Here is a 17,434-nt window from a genome sequence, read left to right as displayed (position 1 = left end):
CCTACTAACCAATTTAAAAATGCAAACACCTCCTGCGGCTAGCGAGAGTCCTCCAAACAGTCACGTAAATTGGTTCTGTTAAGGATTTCCTCCTACCACCTGCTGAGAGCCAGTTGCAAGGAGAGACTAGGGAAGGGCATTGGGTAACTTTGTTGCTAAAAGCTCTTTTGGATAAAGACGTTTGGGAAAAGAAGCAAATAGAGTTCAGCAGAAGAGGTAAGAAAGTAAGTTTATGTTTGGCCAGGCACGGTGGCTCACACCTGTAATCCCAGGACTTTGGGAGGCCGAGGTGGGCAGATCACAAGGTCAAGAGATCGGACCATCCTGGCCAACACGGTGAAGCCCCATATCTGATAAAAATTCAAAAATTAGCTGTCCATGATGGCACATGCCTGTAGTCTCAGCTACTCGGGAGCCTGAGGCAGGAGAATCACTTGAACCCAGGAGGCAGACGTTGCAGTGGACAGAGATCATGCCACTGTATTCTAACCCGGCGACAGAACAAGACTCCGTCTCATAAAACAAACCAAAACAAACAAACAAACAAACAAAAAAGCAAGCTTATTTTTAAGCCTGAACAAATGTAGTGGTTTAGGGGTTCTGCAAATACGGCCCCAATCAGGCTACAAGATGTTGTGGCAGCAACACTTACACCCGGTCACTCCTGGCTGGCTGAGCCACTTTTCAAAACACCCTTGCACAGCTATGCAGAGTGGCTGGCTCCACTGGCAGCCGGCAGAGCCATAACTCACACTGTCACCACTCCCCTCAAACCCTTTCAGTAAGCACTTTCTTTATTTATTTATTTTTTTTTTTTTTTTTTTGAGACGGAGGCTTGCTCTGTCATCCAGGCTGGAGTGCAGTGGTGCAATCTCGGCTCACTGCAAGCTCCGCCTCCCAGGTTCATGCCGTTCTCCTGCCTCAGCCTCCCAAGTAGCTGGGACTACAGGCGCCCGCCACCATGCCAGGCTAATTTTTTGTATTTTTAGTAGAGACGGGGTTTCATCGTGTTAGCCAGGATGGCCTCAATTTCCTGACCTGGTGTTCCGCCCGCCTCGGCCTCCCAAAGTGCTGGGATTACAGGCGTGAGCCACCGCGCCCGGCCTGGTAAGCACTTTTAATCAATGCAACAGGAATAAACATTTGCTGCAGAGCGGCAATGTGCAGGGAGGAACATTGTTCCACTCAGGCTCAGAAAGCAAAACCTCCTGGCTGTTTGCATCTATGCGAGAGCTCGCAGGAAAAGCCCTCTGTGTGGCTGCCAGCCTCACACACTACCCCCAAGGGGTGAGTTTCTCTTTCCATGTTAATCTATGCCCTGATGTGCCATCTGTCAACCACCACACCATTCTCAGTTGACATTTCAAAGCATCTTTGCCCTGTGAATGGTCACCAGCCCTGCCCTGCAAGGCCCCAGGTGACATTGAACTTAAATGAGAGAGAAAACAGGTTTCGGGGTGGATTTCAGTTCAGCATCTTGGAATCTCTGTGTGGACATGAAATCTGTCTCCCCAGCCGTGGGCTGCATCCTTGTTTGTCATCTGGTTTGGTTGTTGTGAACTTGGAAACTCGTGGGCACCTTTGCAATTTGTCAAGAAGCTGCACGGCCCTTCCAACAAAAGCAAGCAATAGGAACAGAAGCCCAAGGCTTCAGATCAAGGTGCGACTTAAAGCAGCCTCAGTGTAAAAGGAAAGAGGAGTCAGAGGGATGCCTAAGGCAGAGTCTAGTCCCCAGGGAAGCTATAAGGCAAAGAGAAAGGGAGAGAGAGATAGACAGAGACAGAGACAGAGACAGAAAGACAGAGAGAGATGGGAGGAGCCATGAGGCGCCCAGGCCTCTGCATCAAAATCCCTACAAGAGGGGCCTCCTAAAAATGCAGGAGGCTGAGGTGGGCGCACACAGAAGTTCAAGACTAGCCTGGGCAACATAGAAAGGCCCTGTCTTTACAAAAAATACAAAAATCAGCCAGGTGTGGTGGTGCATCCCTGTGGTCCCAGCTACCCAGGAGGCTGAGGTGGGAGGATGGCTTGAGCCCAGGAGGTAGAGGCTGCAGTGAACCGAGATAGCACCACTGCACTCCAGCCTGGGCAATAGAGTGAGACTTCATCTCAAAAAAATTTTAAAAAATTTTTAAAAAGGATCACTCTGGCTACTTGAATGGATGATAAGAAGGTAAGAGCAGAAGCAAGGAGACCAGCAGTGAGATTCTGCAAGTGGCAGTCCACAGTGGCTCAGACCAGGCTGGCGCTGAAGACCTGCTGGATTCTGTATATATTTTGATGATGAAGCAACTCACTGACTCTTGAAGAGTGGTCTCTAGGAGACTGTATTTTTAACAAGCTCTCAGAGGATTCTAATGCAGGCTGAAGTTGAAGAACTCCTGATTTAGGTGAAGCTTCTGTTTCATCCTAGGGGAAGTACCTACTGAATTTTCTCCAAGCCACCTCAAAAGAGGCGCTAGACAAGATGTGCTCCAATGTCTGAACATGTGTGCACAGCTCTAGAGCCGACCTCAGGACACTGAGTCAAAAGTTAGGAGTACAACAGTGAACAACCACCATCCTCTTTTCAATGAGCTTTGCATTTAATGAGAGAAATAAAAAGCAAAAAAAAAAATCATTTTCAACTCACAATGGTAGGAGTTATGGTGACAGTATGCCTGGGGCAAGGGGAGCACAAAGAGGGGGCACCCAGTCGGCCAGGTGCAGTTGTTCATGCCTGTAATCCCAGCATTTTGGGAGGCCAAGGTGGGTGTATCACTTGAGGCCAGGAGTTCGAAAACAGCCTGGCCAACATGGTGAAATCCTGTCTTTACTAAAAATACAAAAAAATTAGCCAGAAGTGGTGGCGGGCACCTGTAATTCCAGATACTCAGAAGGCTGAGGTGGGAGAATTGCTTGAACCCGGGAGGCGGAGATTGCAGTGAGCCAAGATCGCGCCACTGCACTCCAGGCTGGATGGCCAGAGCGAGACTCCGTCAAAAAAAAAAGCCAGGTGATGGGTGGGCATGCAATCTCTATCAGGTGGTCAGAAATCCTTCTCCACCACAGGACTCCTCAGTTGAAGACTAGAAAATGGTAGGAATTAGCCAGGTCGATAGGAGAGCTGTGGAAGATCATTCCCAGCAGAGGGAAGAGCATGTGCAAAAATCGAGACGTGAGAGGGTGAGGAGCTGAGAGATGTTCATATAATTGTAAAAAGTGACTAATGTAGAGGTAAGTTAGAGCCAAATCTTAAAGGCTCTTTGTCATGTTTATCCTGTAGACAAAAGGAGACAGTAGATGTTTTTAGGCAGGGGAGTAATGATCCACTTTGTGCTATAAAAAGAGCAGTCTGGCTGGAGGAGAGTGGGAGGTGAGTAGACCAGGTGGGAGGTTGCAATACACCAAGTGAGACAAGATGGTTGGCTGGACCAAGGCTGTGGCAGTGAGGATGGAGAGGAGACAGTAGACTAACTTAACTGAGAAAGAGGGAGGAATGAAGGATGAGGCCCAGGTGTTTTGGAAGCTGGGTGGATGGTGGTGTGAATCTGACGTGGTGAGCCCAGGCAGAAGAGGAAATCAGGAGAGGAAAGGTAAGATGAGGTCAATGCAAGACAGACAGCCAAGTGGAGATAACAACTGGGCAGTTGGATTCATCAGCCTGGAGTTATACAGAGAGCTCTGGAATGGAAATAAAGAGGAAAGGATTTTGGGAATAGGTGAATCCTCCCAGAATAATGTGTAGAGAAAGGAGAATAGAACACAGGGGACAGAAAAAGGGAAGAGATTTGTTATTAAAACCAACAATCCATCAGACAACTTCCAATAAGACACTTGTTAGAGGTTTCCTCAGTGTGAGTTATTCAGGACCAGAGCTAAAGACCATATTCCCAATAACATCACTGCTGGGAAGGTCTTCATGAAAACATTTAATGCTGCTTTTAAAACAACAACAACAACAAAAAGGCGTTAGCTACTGCACAGACCCTGGAGCAATTTTTCGGCAAGAGTCTATCAAACACGAATCTGATTTGACTCAAGGAGGTGTCATATCAAGTGTAAAAATCCAATTCCAATGTCCATAAGAGCCTTTCTGCAAGGTAAAAGACCCTAATCCAGTTGAAGTGATTTTTATTGATTAATAGTCTGGGAATACACAGGTTTTTGGTTTTTGAGATTTTCCTCCCTGTGCCTTCATGCCAGCTGTGGAAGGGTCAAAAGGCTCCTAACTGTCAAAATAAAAACGACACTTGGTCACAGAGGAAACAGATTATAGGTCAATCACATTGATGACTTTTTAAATCTGAGAAGCCATTAATGTTACTGAATAAGCAAATCTGTTTGCATAACCAGATTTTTATAGGCTACTGGGAATAAAGGTTTTCCTAAGTGGGTGATTTGTACAACGATAGCCTTTGGGTATCTGATGGAACAGCTCTGATGAGGAAATGTTCCTTTAATTATGCGGAAGGCCAATTACCACATTATAGCCACATTGTTTTGCAGATTGCATATAATTTCACCATTTCCATAGCTTCAGCACTATAATTCTGGAGAAAATTCAGGCACCAAGAAGACACTTGAGGCACATTATGCTGGAGACAAAGATGTTTTAGCGAATTCAATTTAAGCTTCAACATTAAAGTTATTTTGTTGAATAAAGCATAATGCAATAATGAGCTTGTGTAAGTCAACTCTATAGTGGAGGTAATAGTAGCTAGAGAGAGCATGTCCCATCTCTTCTTTTTAATGCTCATTCGAGTAATACATAATGCTATAGAGAGAACCTTTCTCTAATATGTGCTTCATCTCAGGCTAAGCGTGTTTTGTGCAACTGTGCTTCATGAAAAAAAAAGGTAAAGGATCTAATTTGGGAGCCATTCACAAAAGTGCTACCACTTGATGTTATTTTATACTCTGAGATTTCTTATTCCCAGTGCCTACCAGGAATGGACTTTCTGGAGAAGCCCAGATTAATCACTCCTTCTGAGAGGTGACAGCGTGCTGGCAGCCATCACAGCCCTCGCTCACTCTTGGTGCCTCCTCTGCCTGGGCTCCCACTTTGGCAGCACTTGAGGAGCCCTTCAACCCGCGGCTGCACGGTGGGAGGCCCTTTCTGGGCTTGCCAAGGTCAGAGCTGGCTCCCTCAGCTTGCAGGGAGGTGTGGAGGGAGAGGCATGAGCCGGAACCGGGGCTGCGTGCTTCTTGCCTGCCGGCTGGAGTTCCGGGTGGGCGTGGGCTTGGTGGCCCAGCACTAGGAGCTGCCAGCTGGCCCTGCCGGCCCCGGGCTGTGAGAGGCTTAGCACCTGGGCCAGCAGCTGCTGTGCTCGACTTCTCGCTGGGCCTTAGCTGCCTCCCCGTGGACAGGGCTTGGGACCTGCAGCCCAACATTCCTGAGCCTCCTCCCTCCATGGGCTCCTGTGTGGCCGGAGCCTCCCCGACAAGCACTGCCCCCTGCTCCACAGCGCCCAGTCCCATCGACCACCCAAGGGATGAGGAGTGTGGGAGCACGGAGAGGGACTGGCAGGCAGCTCCACCTGTGGTTCCTGTGTGGGATCCACTGGGTGAAGCCAGCTGGGCTCCTGAGTCTGGTGGGGACTTGTAGAACCTTTATGTCTAGCTAAGGGATTGTAAATACACCAATCGACACTCTGTATCTAGCTACTATGGTGGGGACTTGGAGAACCTTTGTGTGGACACTCTGTATCTAGCTAATCTAGTGGGGACGTGGGGAACCTTTGTGTCTAGCTCAGGGATTGTAAAGGCACCAATCAGCACCCTGTCAAAACAGACCACTCAGGCTCTCTGTAAAATGGACCAATCAGCAGGATGTGGGTGGGGCCAGGTAAGAGAATAAAAGCAGGCTGCCCAAGCCAGCAGCGGCAACCCGCTGGGGTCCCCTTCCACACTGTGGAAGCTTTGTTCTTTCGCTCTTTGCAATAAATCTTGTTGCTGCTCACTGTTTGGGTCCGCACTGCCTTTATGAGCTGTAACACTCACCGAGAAGGTCTGCAGCTTCACTCCTGAAGCCAGCAAGACCATGAACCCACCAGGAGAAATGAACAACTCCAGACATGCAGCCTTAAGAGCTGTAACACTCACCATGAAGGTCTGCAGCTTCACTCCTGAGCCAGCAAGACCACAAACCCCACCAGAAGGAAGAAGCTTCGAACACATCCGAACATCAAAAGGAACAAACTCCAGACACGCCAACTTTAAGAACTGTAACACTCACCAGGAGGGTCCACAGCTTCATTCTTGAAGTCAGTGGGACCAAGAACCCACCAATTCCGGACACACTTATACACTTGGCACTGGGAGGTCTGTATGGAGCAAGTGAAGAAATCAGCAGAGTGAAGATAGAGGGAGAACAACACGATGGGGGAAAGGCAAAGTTACTGCCATGTTGGTTTCAATTCTGCCACTCATGAGCGAGACCCATGACCTCCTCTCTCTAGGACTCTGTTGTTCTTATCTGTAGAGTGGAGGAATGGAAGGGCATTTTAAAGTATTAACATTTCCTGACCTATCTGTAAAACACTTTCATTCAAATTGATGGGAATCTTGACTACTTTGCCAAGAGGACATAATAATCATCAAGCTGAATGCACCAAACAACATTGCCTGAAACTATCTAAGCAAAAACTGAGAAAGTTACACAGGACAGACAAACCTCCTATAAGAGTAAGAACTCTTAAGCACATGCTTAGTGTGTCAAAGACAATGCTGTGTTCACACCATTCCTCTTCCTGAACATGCAGAAAGACTACATTTCCCAGCCTTACTTGCAGTTAGTTTGGAACCATGTGACTGCATTTCCACCAATAGGAATGTAAGAAATCCCTTCAGGCCAAGGTCATCAAAGGCAAGTGTGAGCTATGTTCCCTCTCTTCTTAACCATATGGCTACAAGTGAAAAATTCTGAGATGGCAGAATTAAAAGATGGAAATCTCCAGAATCTCTGAATCACTGTTGGACAAGGGCCCCTAAGGAGAACCCCTGCCCTGCACCAGACTATGCTATGGGTGCCAACGCACTGAGAGTTCAGGGCTTATTAGTCTTAGCAGCAGTCTATTTTTACACTGACTAACATCCTAAGATTTGAGAGATTTAGCATATTGTTAATTGAAGCTAGATTTCAATTACACTGAGAACCTTATCTATTTAAAAATAAAAACTCTCCTAAAAAAACAAATAATCCACATTCCTTTTAACCACATGTGGCAAATTTGCAAAAAAAAAAAAAACTGGCCACATATTAGGCCATAAAGAAGTCTCAACCAAATCCACTATACGATTGACATTGTCCAGACCACATTTTCCTGACCATAATGCAATAAAATTAGAAGTCAAAAGCAAGAAGATAGCTAAACACAAGCATACATTTGGAAAATTAAAAATATCCTTTCATGAATTAAATGAAAAATCACAATAGAAATTACTAAACATTTACAACTGAACGAAAACACAACTTTATATATATATATATATATTGTGAGTCTTCCAACTTTGTTCTTCTTTTACAAGGTTATTTGGGAAATTCTGGGTCTCCTGCAATTCCTCATAGAGTTGTATGCTGTTTGTCAATTTCTGTGGCTGGGATGAACTTATCGTAGTTCTCATAGACCAGGGTTTGCATGTCGCTGTCTAGAGCCCGGATCTGCTGCACCATGTCCGTCTCACTGTCCATCAGCTGGGCCAGAGGGCACTCTCTAGGCAGCTTGTCTAGGTAAACTTCCGGGTCGAAGTGCGCCCCGTTCAGATCAGTGGGGTCCAGGGGGTCGGGCCCCGAGGGGAGTCCCACCCCCTCCCCTTCCGAGAGACCATTGTAAAGCTTTAGCATCCTGTGCGCCTTCCACCGACGCTCCGTGAGCCTCCCCATCGGGCCCTTCTGGGGAGTCCCCAGGTCCACACCCCGGGCTAGACCCAGAGACAGCTGCCGCCGCCATAGCTCCAATTGCAGCCCACGGGTGTAACTTTTTATATTTTTAAGTTGGATATATGGAGCTACTTGGCTTTTGCTTTCATCTCATCGTTGAGGAAAGAGGTGGTTGCTTATGGTACCCCTGTTTTTACTGCAACCTGTAATGGATGAGAACCTCCCTGTTGCAGAGAGCAAAACACTGAACTAAATTGTGCTGTAACACAGCCCTGTATTGGGGGATTGGGAGTGATCATGCAAACGCTTGCAAATTTGCACAGTGACAGAGACAATCGTTTGGGCAGCTATTCACTATATGAAAAGGCAATTGACCAAAAGTCAGTTACTGAGCTATCTCAATACTTTCATTTTATTTTAACTTTTGGCAACAGGGTGCAATTAAAGGAGAGAAAGAAAACAAAGTGATAAGTGTAAGATAATGTACACACATGTGTAAAAGAAAATGACAAGACAGGATGACTATTTGTCTCTTGGTTAGCTCCTTGGGCTCTATGTCTCCTTCCTCAGAGAACCTCGTTTTCCTTTGTCCAGATTTGTTAGGGTGGATAATCCAGGCGCTTGCTCCCCCATGATGGAAGCCAAAGACGTCCCTGGAGCCGCCTCCCACTGCACCCTTTCCTGCACTGCCCACATGGACACAACTCAGCCGATTAGACTTCCTCTCGGAACTTTAGTCTTGAGCAAAGGGATTAAAGGGTGAAGTGACTGAAGTTATGCCCTTCCAAAGTGGTATGTGAGCTAATGGCTAAAGTTGGCCAAGCCCATCCAAGCACATTTTTTCGTAGTTTTTATTTATTTAATTTTTTAAGACAGAGTCTTGCTCTGTTGCCCAGGCTGGAGTGCAGTGGCATGATCTCGGTTCACTGCAACCTCTGTCTCCTGGCTTCAAAGGAGTCTCCTGCCTCAGCCTCCCCAGTAGCTGGGATTACAGGCATACGCCACCATGCCTGGCTAATTTTTTTTTTTTTTTTTGTATTTTTAGTAGAGACAGGGTTTCACCATGTTGGCCAGGCTGGTCTCGAACTCCTGACTTTGTGATTCGCCTGCCTCAGCCTCCCAAGGGCTGGGATTACACGCGTGAGCCACCGCGCCCAGCTTCAAAAAGTTTTAAGCAGAGCTCAGAGGTCTTAAGCACAGGCACATCAGAGGAGCATTTTTGAAACACTTTCCAGCTTCTTCAATAGGAATGGAAGCCAAACTCCGAATTGATGACTCCTTTGGGGAAGTCGACAGCTGTAAGGAAAGCCAGGAACAGCGGCAAGAGAGAGATGCGTCCCGAATGATCCTGTGCCAATTCTTTCTGGAATCCTTGATGTGATCGCAGCTGCCCTTTCTATACATGACACAGTGATTGTGGCACCCACTGGTCTAGTTGTGGTCTACAAGGAACCCCCAAAGGGAAGGGCACAGTGAGCAGCGGCATCCGCCTGAGTGACGAGGATTTGAGAGGGCAGGTTGGATGCAGGGAGAGGACCGGCCAAATGCCATGTGTCTGGACTTAGACTGCCTGGTTCAAATTGGACTTCACCCTTTTTGACTTCGTGATCTGGTACAAGCTACATGAAAATCCGTTGCGCCTTTTCTAGTCTGTAAAATCATCATGAAATGTGCACTAATAACATGGAGACTATGCAGATGAAATGAAGCAAGCTGCATAGAGCACAGAGCTCAGAGCCTGGTCTGTAGGAAACCCTCAGTAAGGGTTCATGATGCCATGGTGTCTGTCGTCATCCTCTTTATCCTCATCATTACCTTCATAATCTCTTTGTTGTTCTTAGGGAATAGTTTAGAGGGACTGATTCCCTGCTACCATGGGTGAGATGTCTATGAAAAGGACAACCAGTGGGGGAGGAAAGAAAAATTTTCAATAAGATTTCTGAGACCCCCCAGCACAACAAAGAACAGAAACTCCACAGTCAGCTGAGCAAGGAGTTTGCATATTGATCTCCTCCCATCTGCCCACCGCACTCTCCTGTTTGTCCTGAGGAGGAGGAAACAAACAAGGCTCCCGACCGTCCCTCAGCACTCACTTGAATGGGTGGCCTGTCCCTCCACACCTGTTGGTATTTCTAGTCGGGTGGGACGAGAGACTGAGAAAAGAAATAAGACACAGAGACAAAGTATGGAGAAACAACAGTTGGCCTAGGGGACCGGCGCTCAGCATACCAAGGACCTGCACAGGCACAGGCCTCTGAGTTCTCTCAGTTTTTATTGATTATTATTTTTATTATTTTAGCAAAAAGGAATGTAGTAGGAGGGCAGGGTGATAATAAGGAGAAGGTCAGCAACGAACTTGTGAGCAATACAAGTCATAAGGAAGTTCAAGGGAAGGTACTATGACTGGACGTGTCTCTAAGCAAGATTTATGTTTCTCTCCATCCAAACATCTCAGTGGGGTAAAGAATAACAAGGTAGCATTGCTGAAAACGTGTCTCACCTCCCACAATAGGGCGGTTTTACCCCCATCTCAGAATTGAACAAATGTACAATCGGGTGTTATACCAAGACATTCAGTTTCCATGGCCAGGCAGGAGACAGTGGCCTTCCTCTCTCTCAACTACAAGAGGCTTTCCTCTTTGACTAATCCACTTCAGCACAGACCCTTTACTGGTGTCGGGCTTGGGGACGGTCAGGTCTTTCTCCTCCCACAAGGCCACTTTTCAGACTATCACATGGGGAGAAACCTTGGACAATATGCCGCTTTCAAGGGCAGAGATCCCTGAGGCTTTCCACAGTGTATTATGCCCCTGGTTTATTGAGACTAGAGAATGGCAATGACTTTTACCAAGTATACTGCTTGGAAACATCTTGTTAACAAGGCACGTCCTGTACAGCCCTAGATCCCTTAAACCTTGATTTCATAAAACACATGCTTTTGTGAAATTCAGGTTGGGTCAAAGTGGTTGGTTCAAAGTGACTGGGGCAAAGCTACAGATTAACAACATCTCTGCAAAGCAATTGTTGAAAGTACAGGCCTTTTTCAAAATGGAGTCTCTTATGTCTTTCCTTTCTACATAGACACAGTAAGAGTCTGATCGCTCTTTCTTTTGCCTACACTCACTGAACTGCCCTTCCCCTCTTCTGAGCCATGACCACGGAGAACAGGTCCACTGTCCTCCCTGTGTGGTGCACCATGGAGGCTCAGACTCCGTCCTCGAGGCTGGCAAGAAGACACGGTAAGACATGAGCCTCCTGATACAGGTGATGTCTGTGGAGCCCACAGGACTGCAACCTCACACTGCAGGGCTGGAGTCACAGACTGACTATTTACTGTTCTGTGGCCTGGGGGGCTCAAGGCACAGAGCTCCTCATTAGTCAAAGTCGCCCAAGTTCCCCAACCTCTAAGGATTTCCTCATAATAAAGCAAGAAGAAGAAGAGAAAAGTGAGTGTCCATAGAAGATTTGGGGCTCTTCCTCTAATCAGGAGAAAGCTGGTGTGTATTCTTCACTTCTTTCTTTTCTTTTTAAACATCCAACTGCTTTAATTTTCATCTTTTATTATGGGAAAATATACCACGTATAAATATTAAAAATTATAACTATATATTAGTTCATATAGAATGGCCAGTATAAACACTTACAGTTTCCACGCTTTTTCAGTTTACAGCTTCATGACATTAAGTACGTTCACATTGTTTAGCAACCATCACTGTCATCATCTCCGGAACAGTTTTATCTTTCAAAATGGAAATTGCACCCATTCACCAAGCTCTCCACTCCTCTCTCTCGCCCACCACTGGGGGCCACCTTTCTAGTTTGCAACTCTATGAGTTTAACTACTCTAGACACTTGATAGATAAGTGGAATCATACCGTGTTTAATTTTCTTGTTTTGGAGACAGAGTCTTTCTCTGTCACCCAGGCTGGAGTGCAGTGGCATGATCTCGGCTCACTGCAACCTCCACATCGTGGGTTCAAGCGATTCTTGTGTCTCAGTCTCTGGAGTAGCTGGGATTACAGGCGTGCGCCACCACGCCCAGCTAATTTTTGTATTTTTAATAGAGACCATATTGGCCAGGCTGGTCTCCAACTCCTGACCTGAAGTGATCCGCGTGGCTCAGCCTCCGAAAGTGCTGGGGTTACAGGTGCGAGCCACTGAGCATGGGCGTGTTTATCCTTTTGGGATTCATTTATTTCACTGAAGATAATGTTTACAAGGTTCATCCATGTTGCGGCATGCGTCAGAAGTGCCTCTTTGTTTTTTTTGTTTGTTTGTTTTTTGTTTGTTTGTTCGTTTTTTGTTTGTTTGTTCGTTTGACTTTGTTTTGTTTTGTGTTTCCTTGGAGTCTCACTCTATCGCACAGGCTGGAGTGCAGTGGCACAATCTGGGTTCACTGCAACCTCCGCCTCCCGGGTTCCACCGATTCTTGTGCCTCTGCCTCCCGAGTAGCTGGGACAATAGGCACACGCCACCACGCTCGTCTCATTTTTTGCATTTTCAGTAGAGACATGGTTTCACCAAGATGGCCAGGCTGGTCTTGAATTCCTGACCTCAGGTGATCCGCCCACTTCGGTCTTCGAAGATGCTGGGATTACAGGCGTGAGCCACCACACCGGCCAGAAGTGCCTGCCTTTTGAAGGCTGAATAGTCTTCCATCGCATGAATGAACTGCAGTGTGCTTTTTCATTCATCTGTCCACGAACCCTTGGGTTGCTTCCTCATTTTGGCTATTGTGAATAATGCCGCTATGAATTTGGGTGTACAAATCTCTCTTCCACTCCTGGCTTCTAATTTTTTTTGGCAGGCACCCACAAGTGCAACTGCGGGAACATCTGATAATCCTGTTTCTACTTTTTGCAGCACACGCCATAGTATTTTCCCTGTTCCTTCACGGTTTTACATTCCCTCCAATCAGATTCGAACATTCCTACTTCCCTCTAGTCTCACCAATGCTTGTTTGTTTATCATATCCATCCTAATGTGTGGTATGGCATTCTTGGTTTGATTTGCGCTTCCCTATGATGAGTGATTTTGAACATCATTTTAGACGCTTATTGACCATTGCTATATCTTCTTTAGGAACAAGTCTACTCGAGTCTTCTGACCATTGTTAATGGGGTGCTTTGGGTTTCTGATTGTTCATTTGTAGCTGTTCTTTGTTTATGATGCATATCAGCCTCTTTTCAGAGATATGATTTGCAAATCTTTTTCCTATTCCATGGGTTATCTTTTCACTCAGTTCACAGTGTTTGCTGATGCACAAAAGTGTCTGTCATTTAGATATCATCCAAGGAATCTAATTTTCTTTTGTTGTCTATGCTTTTGGTGTCATATCCCAGAAAGCATTGCCCAATCTGATGTCATGAAAGTGTGGCCAATGTTTTCTTTGAGGCATATTATACTTTCAGCACTTGGGGTTAGGTCTTTGATCCAGTTTGTGTTAATTTTTGCACCTGTTGTGACACAGAGTCCACCTTCATTCTTCTGCAGGTGGAAATCAAGTTTCTCCAACACCATTTCTTGAAAAGGCTGCTTTTCCACCAATGGACTTTCTTAGCACTCATGTTGAAAATCATTTGAACATATAGGTGAGAAGTTATGTCTGGGCACAAAAACAGACAAACAACAACAGACAACAGATAAGGATGCAGCATGGGCCGGGCGCGGTCGCTCACGCCTGTAATCCAAGCACTTTGGGAGGCCGAGGCGGGCGGATCACCTGAGGTCAGGAGTTCAAGACCAGCCTGACACACAGGAAGAAACCCCCCTTCTCTACTACAAATACAACATTAGCTGGGCGTGCTGGGGCATGCCAGCTGCTCGGGAGATGGAGGCAGGAGAATCGCTTGAACCTAGGAGGCAGAAGTTGTGGTGAGCCAAGATTGCACCATGACACTCCAGCCTGGGCAACAAGAGTGAAACTCTGTCTCAAAACAAAAAAACAAAAACAAAAACTGCAGCATGATTTCGATAGCAGAAAGAGAATAGCTGAAAAACCAGCATAATGAGAAAGTTAGGAAGCTTCTCACCAAAGCATCTGGAAATATGCAAGAAATTCCTGTGAACTAAAATTTTCATACTGTGCTATCAAACACTAGGACTCAGTTGTTCCATCCTTCTGTATTTTGGGACCCAATTATCCACTTCTCTTCATTCCCCATCCCACCCCTTTTCTTCCTAGCGTCTGCTAACAACCTTTATATTTTCCACCTTCCTGAGATTCCTTTTGTGTGTAGGTGTGTGATGGAGTCTCTTTCTGTTGCCCAGTTGGAGTACACAGGCACAATCCAGGCTCACTGCAAGCTCCGCCTCCCGAGTTCAAGCGCTTCTTGGGCCTCAGCCCTCCGAGTAGCTGAGACTACAGGCACGCGTCACCACGTCCGGCTAATTGTTTGTGTTTTCAGTAGAGACGGGGTTTTACCATGTTGGCCAGGCGGATCTCAAACTCCTGGTCTCAAGTGATCCTTGCGACTCGGCCTCCCACAGTGCTGGGATTCCAGGCCTGAGCCACCACAACTGGCCAAGATTTTCTTTTTTGTTCCTACATAGAAGTGAGGATATGAAGTATTTGTCATTCTGTGCCTGGCTTATTTCACTTAATATACAGACCTGCAATCTCATCCATTTTGTCTGCAGTGGAGAGGATTTTGTTTATTCCTTTTTAGGCTAAATAGTACTTCATTGTGTGTGTATACCACAGTTTATCAATTGAAACAAATTTCTAAAAAGCAAATATTTTTAACATGTCTCGGAATGTGAAACTTCAGGGATACTGTGCCCATTTTATTCTTTTCTATTTCCCATCTTATGAATATGCAAGTGTATAACAAAGCAGCAATCAAAGTGTGTATAAATCTATAATTTCAACAAATGTAAAATGAAAATGCTAAGTGGTGGCTGGGCGCACTCGCTCACGCCTGTAATCCCAGAACATTGGGAGGCGGAAGCGGGCGGATCACCTGAGGTCGGGAGTTCAAGACCAGCCTGACCAATATGGGGAACCACTGTCTATATTAAAAATACCAAAACAAAACAAAATAAAATTAGCCGGGCATGGTAGCGCATGCCTGTAATCCCAGCTACTTGAAGGCTGAGATAGGAGAATCGCTTGGATACGGGAGGCAGAGGTTGCAGTGAGCCGAGATCGTCCCATTGCACTCCAACCTGGGCAACAAGAGTGAAACTCTGCCTCAAAAAGAAAAAAAAAAAGAAAAAGAAAAACATAGAAAAAGCTAAATGGTAAGAAACAACAGCATAATAAACATTTGTATGGTATTGATGGACAATGCATTTGAAGATAATATTTGAAGAAATCATATTACAATTAACTTCTGTTCTTACTCATTGGAGCTTGATGCCTCTAAAATCTTCGGCATTGGAATCACCTCTGGTGCTTTAAAAAAAAAAAAAAAAAAATCCACATGCTCACACAGGTGCAGAGAAATCAGAATCTCAGGTAATGAGACCCAGGCCTCATCATTTGTAAGCTCCCCAGGTGAGTTGACTCAAAGCCAAGATTGAGGACCGGTGACATGGATCTCTACACATAACCAGCCTAAATAGTTTCTCTAGAAGCAGTTTATAAAGAAATTCCACAAGAACTGTGGAAGAGGATATGAATTTGATGTACAGTATGTCCTCACTTAACATCTTTGGAAGTCTCTTGGAAACTTCACCTTTAAGCAAAATTAGGTATAATGAAACCACTTATTCCTCACCAACATTATAACTACACAACCTTGAACGCACCAATGGTGTTGGAGGACCTCCTGTACATTGTCTCCATAAATTCAGTTTTCAGGGAATTCCAAAACGAAATGAGGACTTCGTGTACATAAAAAGATGGTTGTGATTCCACCTGGATGACAGAGTTATTGCTCAGAAACTAAAGGAGGCCGCCTAGGCATAGAGGATTCTGTCATGAGGTTTCTGCTAAACAAAGGATCCCAGAATCCTCACCCATTCCAGTGAAAGGCATAACGAAGAAAGCAATATTCACAAAGGAAATACGGAAAGGAATAAAAGCCGTCAAGCCACAAAAAGAATGTGACTAAGGGGCAGGATTTGCAGATGTAGGGATTTAATGTGGTTGCCCTTTCTCACCCACAGAAGAAAAAGGATGGAACAGATCATGAGATTCGACTGTTCTGCTGAGCAGCCTCCGCAGGGCACTTTGTATGTCCCTGTTTCTCAGGCTGTAGATGAAAGGGTTCAGCATGGGGGTGAAAACAGCATACATCACTGATGCCACCACACCATTCCTGTGGGGTGGTGACACAGCTGAAGTCAGGTACATGTCAATGCCTGTTCCATCAAATCAGCAAACAACTGCCAGGTGAGAGCCACAGGTAGCGAAGACTTTATACTTCCCATCTGACGATGAAATCCTTAGAATGGAGGGGACAATTTTATAGTGAGACAAAAGGACCCCTAAAATGGGAAGAAAACCAAACATAGTACTATCGAAATATATGAATATGCTATTGACGACGCTGTCAGAACTGGCAAGGTTGACAAGTTGAGATGGCTCACAGACAAAATTAGAGATTTCCACATTATTGAAGAAGGTGAATTGTAATACAACCTAACTGTGCAGCTGGGAATCCAACAGGCTAAGGAAAAAGGACACCAAAATGAAAAAGACACAGAGGTGAGGATTCACGATGACTGGGTAGTGCAGAGGGCGACAGATGGCTACAAAGCAGTCATAGGCCATCACAGTCAGAAGCATGTCTTCTGTACATGCAAAAAGGACCAAGAAAGACATCCTTGTCAGGCAGCCCTCATAAGAGATGACTCTGCTATGCGACTGCATGTCCACAATCATCTTAGGAACCGTGGCCGAGGTGAAACCGATGTCAGCCCAGCACAGGTTGGAGAGGAAGAAGCACATGGGAGTGTGGAGGTGGGAGTCAGAGCTGACAGCCAGGATGATGAGCAGGTTCCTCAGCACCGTGACCAGATACATGGACAGGGACAGCCCAGCCAGGATGGGCTGCAGTTCTGGATCCTCTGAGAGTCCCAGGAGGAGGAATTCTCAGACACCTGTGAGATTCCGTGGCTTTGTGTGACTTGGACACCTTGGGAAGAAAAGAGGATTGGAAAAATAAAAGATAAAAACCATCCCTTAATGCTGTGTGTATATTTTGGATGCAAGCAATTCACAAGGAACATTTTCACACTTGCGGACCATACACCGCCAGCAATGTTTCTCAGTTGTGACAAATCCAAAAATCTCAGAATTATGACATGATTTACTTTTTTGCTATTCAACTCTTTCTGTACACACTACTTCAGAGAAAATCCACTGAAGAATGTTAGAAGATCAAAACGTCATATATAACAAATCCGTGATCTCAGTAAAATACGGCCTACTCTTTTCAGAAATAAATAGAATGCAATGAAAATGTTCTTCTCTCTTGAAGAAAAAGATCTCAGTCTAGTTGAAAGAAATTAAGAAGCCGTGAAATACACTCTACTTTATTCTGACACCGTGCTACAAATTCCTTTGATGTAGAATATGTAAAAGGACGACACAAGAGCTAGGACTCCATTATCTAAAAACGAAAT

The 17,434-nt window shown here is 45.6% G+C and overlaps 1 pseudogene, besides 2 other annotated features; it reads right to left on the bottom strand.

Annotated features, from left to right (window-relative positions):
* Positions 7,308–7,807: an enhancer, noted in NCBI's record as "H3K4me1 hESC enhancer chr4:8992301-8992800 (GRCh37/hg19 assembly coordinates)". NCBI's record gives its function as "activates a minimal SCP1, AML or CMV promoter by ChIP-STARR-seq in primed H9 embryonic stem cells {active_cell/tissue: H9 hESC(primed)}" and the evidence as "EXISTENCE:reporter gene assay evidence [ECO:0000049][PMID:30033119]".
* Positions 7,808–8,309: an enhancer, noted in NCBI's record as "H3K4me1 hESC enhancer chr4:8991799-8992300 (GRCh37/hg19 assembly coordinates)". NCBI's record gives its function as "activates a minimal SCP1, AML or CMV promoter by ChIP-STARR-seq in primed H9 embryonic stem cells {active_cell/tissue: H9 hESC(primed)}" and the evidence as "EXISTENCE:reporter gene assay evidence [ECO:0000049][PMID:30033119]".
* OR7E111FP (olfactory receptor family 7 subfamily E member 111F pseudogene) lies at positions 15,967–16,973 on the bottom strand (annotated as a pseudogene).

Source organism: Homo sapiens, chromosome 4, assembly GCF_000001405.40.
Source record: "Homo sapiens chromosome 4, GRCh38.p14 Primary Assembly".
Lineage (NCBI taxonomy): Eukaryota > Metazoa > Chordata > Mammalia > Primates > Hominidae > Homo > Homo sapiens.
This window is presented reverse-complemented; position numbering and strand designations above follow the sequence as displayed.